We start from the raw sequence: 5,730 nt of genomic DNA, 5'->3' as shown, positions 1-5,730 counted from the left end.
ACAGATGCAGAATGTTTGCTCAAATTCACCTAAATAACAAATAAACAGGATTTAAAATTTCAAAAAGTAGAGGTTTCATACTGTATTGATAGCATACTACAACAGCAAATGACACCCTCAACCCTCCTCTACATAGGCTCTTTCAAAAGAAACTCATTTAATACTAATAGACAAAGAAATTATTGCTGTAAAACATTTTAGGTAAGGCATGTTTGTAACAAATGCCATTAGAACTGATAGCAGCAGCATATCCTGGTGTTAGACAAATTATTTCAGCATTACATTCATGTGGAAATATATTTATTAAATTTAAATTTTATTAACTTAAGGACTGTAAGTTTGAAAATGAAAACATTTCTAACCATCTGAATTTTCTCTTCACTTGGAAAAGCATTTATCCAGTTGACATACAGTTTTATACTTCTAGCAATTAAATTCAACATTTAATATTGCCAATCCCTGTTAGAAGATAACTATTGTCCTTTACTAGACTCAAATGACCACTTATTTTCTACCAAATAGCAGACATTAATGTAATTGACTCACCCAGTCAACTGTGCTGAATTGTTTAAATGGACAAGGGCATCTGTGCAGGCAAAGAAAGAGCCTATTTTGTAGACCTTTGATAATGCCTGACATCTTATAAAACTTTCACAGAATTCAGAATTTTTGAAATAACAATTGGAATATTTTTTTTCCTAAGGAAAACAAAAATGCAAGGAAGTCTTCTACCAAGGGCCACTAGGTAATTATTTGTAAATACTTGTTCCAAAACACTCTGATGAAGCCAAAAATTCTTTGTCTCCAATAATTGAACATATTGGGAGAACGAAATAAGATGGCTTTTCTAATTTTGGCTATAATATCTCAGTTCTTCTTAAAGAAAATTAGAATCAAAAGAGCATCAAAAGGAAATTCTAAAAACAACTCAATTCTTTCACAGCGCAGCCAAACAACTCAATTCTTTCACAGCGCAGCCCTGCCTGTGGAGAGACAGCCTTAAGGAGCCACAGACAGCAGACCCTATCTGCTTCTTGACAAGGAGGAAGTCTGCAGAGCTGCTCCAGGAGGGTGTAGTCACGCTGTGATTTGCCACTCAAACACACAGCTTGCTTATTCACTCAGCTGTGCACTAGGTTTCAGGTTTGAGTTTTAGGGAAAACTGAAAATTCAAAAGTGGTAACAGATGCTCCTCATCTTGAAGTTTCTGCCCACATGCTGCCACTTGAGACAAGGAAAGAAGCAGCTAATTCAGCAAGGCTGGGAAATTGAGAGTTTGATGTGGGGCCATAATATACTTGCTAATACATCAGACCCCCATCCCTGCACTTATACCGATGCCAAGCCCCACCAGTCTTTGAGCATTCCGCGAAAAGACATTGCTGGCAATAGCATCAAGCTCTGCAAAGGAAGCACCAAATCTACAAAGTGCACACCTCCGGTAAAGAGAAAGTTTAACTCTCTTCTTGGGTAGTGGTGGTGGTGGGAGGATGGCAGTGTATTTGATGGTGCATTTGATGTTGGTCATATAGAAAAATGAAAGAACCACAGAGAAAACTGTTTATTCCTTACTTACAGACAAAAACTTTCTGTCCTATCCAAAGGGATAAGTGGTTTCTATCCTCCACTAAGAGGTTGAATGAGCCAGATAAAGAGGTAAGCCAAGATTATGTTTTATGCAAGTGACAGGCCATGAAGAAAGCAGAGTAGAGAGAGTTATATAGAAACTGACTAATCTAAAAGTGGTCTCATGAACATGAATCTGTCGAAACCTAAGGTCCCAGCTTCTGTTAATACCTTCCTGTTTACTCCCATCTCTCTCCCTCCCTTTTATTCCCACTGCCAAATAATAATATTTATAATCCAAATATTGCAAGACTTGAATCTGAATTGTCTGTTTCTAAGGATGTCATGAGTCAGGTTCTTAAATTATTAAAACATGTACACCTCCAGACCCCATGTAGCAGATACTGTAGCCAGCTCACTCAGCAATCATTCCAAACCTCTTTTAGTGTGCCTTCCTGTCTGCATTGGCTTGAAGGCTAAATACAAGATTTCCCATACTCTATAGCAGCTAGGATTCCAGACATAATTTAGATCTGCCAGTTGGTATACTCCCAGGAAACTGAATCTAAACTGAGTTCCATAGAAGGAGATGAGCAGAGCGTATGACATGCATCTTTTTGGTGTAAATAGTGGCACAGGTTTTGTAGGGCTGGAGTTGACAGTTGTGGCTGTGATTTCTTGATTCAACAGGTTCTTGAAAGAATCATCCATTATTCCCTTTGTAATCAAGCTCTACTGTACGGTTAGAAAAATCATTCCAGAAAGCTTCCAGTGTCTGTTTTATCAGGTCTGCCAATGATTATGCGAGCCATAATAGCCCCCTTGAATTAAAACCAGCTAGAATAGATTTTGTGTTCTGTAGCTAAAAACCTGACTAATATACTCTTTCTCCATTTTATAGTAGGACCTAGAAACCAGGGGAGAGAAACAAGTCAATGCTGTGGGAAGAAACGAGTCTATTTAAGTATACTTTCTTCTCTCAGACACCCTATTCATGCTTCCAAGAAATATACAGCTGGATAAATTTACAAAACTGTGAGTGTCACCATTTTAATTTCCAAATTAGATGTACTAAGTTCATAAAAATCTATTATTCAAGCTACCAGGTCACATTGATTCAAAGAAATGTTCTATCCATAAAAAAACATACTTTTATGTAGCATCGACAAAACATTTAATAGATTTGTATCCAAGTGGTCCACTCAGACACTGGTTGTTAGAAGGGCTCCCAGAACCATTGCTTTTCCCATGCTCTAAAAATTTATTCTTGTATTCTAGGTCACTTGTAGACTTCTCTTTAGGGTCCTAGGAGCTTGTACCCTAAAATATAGTAGAAGCTATTCTATTTGGAGAACTATAAACAATATTATTTTAATCAAAATGATTCTATATTATTGGAGTTTGGCCTGAATATGTTACAGGAAAGGGGTCTTGATCCAGACCCAAAGAGAGGGTTCTTGGATCTCACTGAAGAAAGAATTCAGGGTGAGTCCGCAGGGTAATTTGAAAGTAAGTTTATGAGGAAAGTAAAGGAATAAAATAATAGTTACTTCATAGATAGAGAAGCCCTGAAGGCTGCTGGTTGCCCATTTTTATGGTTATTTCTTGATGACATGCTAAACAGCAGTAGATTATTCATGCTTCCCCTTTTTAGACCATATAGGGTAACTTTGTGACGTTGCCATGGCATTTGTAATCTGTCATGGTGCTGGTGGGAGTGTAGCAGTGAGAACGACCAGAGGTCACTCTCATGGCCATCTTCGTTTTGGTGTGTTTTGGCTGGCTTCTTTACTGCAACCTGTTTTATCAGCAAGGTCTTTATGACTTGTATCTTGTGCCAAGCTCCTGTCTCATCCTGTGACTTCGAATGTTTTAACTGTATGGGAATGAAGGCCAGCCTTATTTTACCCAGCCCCTATTTAAGATGGAGTTGCTCTGGTTTACATGCCTCTGACAAATATACAGAAGCACCCATCACACACAAACAAAAATTATGGTATAGAATGAAAGAAAAGTATTTGCAAAATCTTGCCTTAGAATTACTCTTTCTACACAGATTCTCATTAACCATCCAGTAAGGAAACGACAAGGAGAGTCCCAGGTTACCATACCTACTAAAATTCTCACTGTCTAGGTTATCCCATTCCTTCAGCATGTGGTCCATTCTCACTTAGAACTGTGCTTCTGGTACATGCTAACAGTGATGAGAGATAGTTAACAAATAATCAGAGAAATCCAAACCTCTTGAATAGTGTAATTGTAAAAAGTAAGGATAAATTTTAATTTAAAAAAGAAATACATAGAACTGGTCTATTAATGCAAAAAGAGGTTTTTCCTTGTGAAGAACATAAAATCATTGCAAGCACCCTGAAAGATCTTTTTTTTTCTATCTGTTCTAATACATATTTCCAAAGCATACATTGATATTTATTGGGCCAAAAATGATTGGCATCTCTGAAAATAAAACTTTTAAGAAGCATTTTTAGAGATTATATAAGAACAAATTAGAAATAAAAATAAGTGGATCGACCATTTTTCTGAGCATATTTTATTAACTGACAGGTTGTCTATTATTAACCTAACCATACAGAAGTAACTCATGAATGGAACTAAAATCCCGAAATGGTCTTTTGATACAAAACAAAGAAATGAGAGCCTAAAACACATTGCCTAAGTAAAGGTTACAAAACTGAAAAAGGGCCAAAATGAGATTCAAAAAGTAAAATCTTAGAAGGAGAGAATAAGGTCAAAGTCTTCTGATCCCGTACTAAAACTACTGATTTTTTTTTTTTTTTCCTTTTTTGAGATGGAGTTTCGCTCTTGTCGCCTAGGCTGGAGTGCAATGGCGTGATCTTGGCTCACCACAACCTCCGCCTCCCGGGTTCAAGTGATTCCCCTGCTTCAGCCTCCCAAGTAGCTGGGATTACAGGCATGTGCCACCACACCTGGCTAATTTTGTATTTTTAGTAGAGATGGGGTTTCACCGTGTTGTTCAGGTCGGTCTCGAACTCCTGACCTCAAATGATCCACCCACCTCGGCTGCCCAAAGTGCCGAGATTACAAGTGTGAGCCACCTTACCCAGTCAAAACTACTGATTTTTCATCAGCCATTTAGTCTGTAATTATGCCATGCCAGTTTCTCTGCTAAGCAATTGTTAACACAACACAATGTTAATCACCATAACATAATTTTGAGTGTTTACAATGTTCTGGACTTTGATAGGTGCTACAGACATAAAATCTCATTTAATCCTCACAGTGATCTCAAGATAAAAGTACAATTATTATCTCCATTTGCATCTGAAAGAGTTGAAAAGAAGAGAGTGTAAGGAAATTACCAAAGGTCGTAGAAGTAGAAATGGGATTTGAATCAGGTTTTCTATTTCAGACTTGGTACTATTAACTTATATACAATAATAATTTTTTCATAGCCTTCTCTTAGGACTAAAACTAATCGTAACAAATAGGCACCTCCCTCCATGTGACTGTCCATCCATATGTCAGGGTACAAAGGAACATGTTCAACCACTGAACAGGTGAAAACTGAACTGGGAATCCACAGTGTATCAGTTAGGGCATTTATATTGCAAAAGAACCAAACAAATCCAGCCTTTAGTCCAAGTATGTATAAGCAATAAAAAATGGAGCTCAATGGCTCAGGTAACTGAGAATTCCAGAAGAGGTGATAATATTTCTCTTTTGCTTTATGCCGAGGTTCCATTGACACCAGGTTCCAGAATCCCCTGCTCCCTCTGCTCCCTCTGCTTCTGCATTGGCTCCAGTCACAGACAGCCTCTACCTGGTGATAGTAAGATGGTTGAAGGAGCTTTAGCTTCTCATCTTTTCAAGTTCGAGCCAAGCTAGAAATACAGAATACTTCTTCCCTGGCTCAGATCAAAAGATTGTGAGTAGCAATCCATTACTTAAGTTATGTAACTTGAGTCATACTGAGACCAACAGTGTGTCCAGGGAAATGGGGTGTTCTGATTGGGTAAGGCTGAGGTCTTCTACTCCACCCCTGGACTCAGGGAATGGGGCTGATATACCACAAAACCTTAAATAAAAGAAGGACCGATCCTCAAACAAAACACAGAGATTGCTACCAAAAGAAATAAATGAATGTTGAATGATTATAAAACCAAGCTTGTCAAATATTCATTGCTC

General features: G+C 37.9%; 1 long non-coding RNA gene across 1 annotated transcript; it reads left to right on the top strand.

Moving 5' to 3' along the window:
* Positions 1-1,242: 1,242 nt before the first annotated feature.
* Positions 1,243-2,660, top strand: LOC107986386 (uncharacterized). Its single transcript, XR_001742521.1, has 3 exons — positions 1,243-1,441; positions 1,579-1,656; positions 2,468-2,660. It is a non-coding gene; the product is annotated as an uncharacterized LOC107986386 (long non-coding RNA).
* The last annotated feature ends 3,070 nt before the right edge of the window (positions 2,661-5,730 follow it).

Source organism: Homo sapiens, chromosome 5, assembly GCF_000001405.40.
Source record: "Homo sapiens chromosome 5, GRCh38.p14 Primary Assembly".
NCBI classification, from domain to species: domain Eukaryota; kingdom Metazoa; phylum Chordata; class Mammalia; order Primates; family Hominidae; genus Homo; species Homo sapiens.
This window is presented reverse-complemented; position numbering and strand designations above follow the sequence as displayed.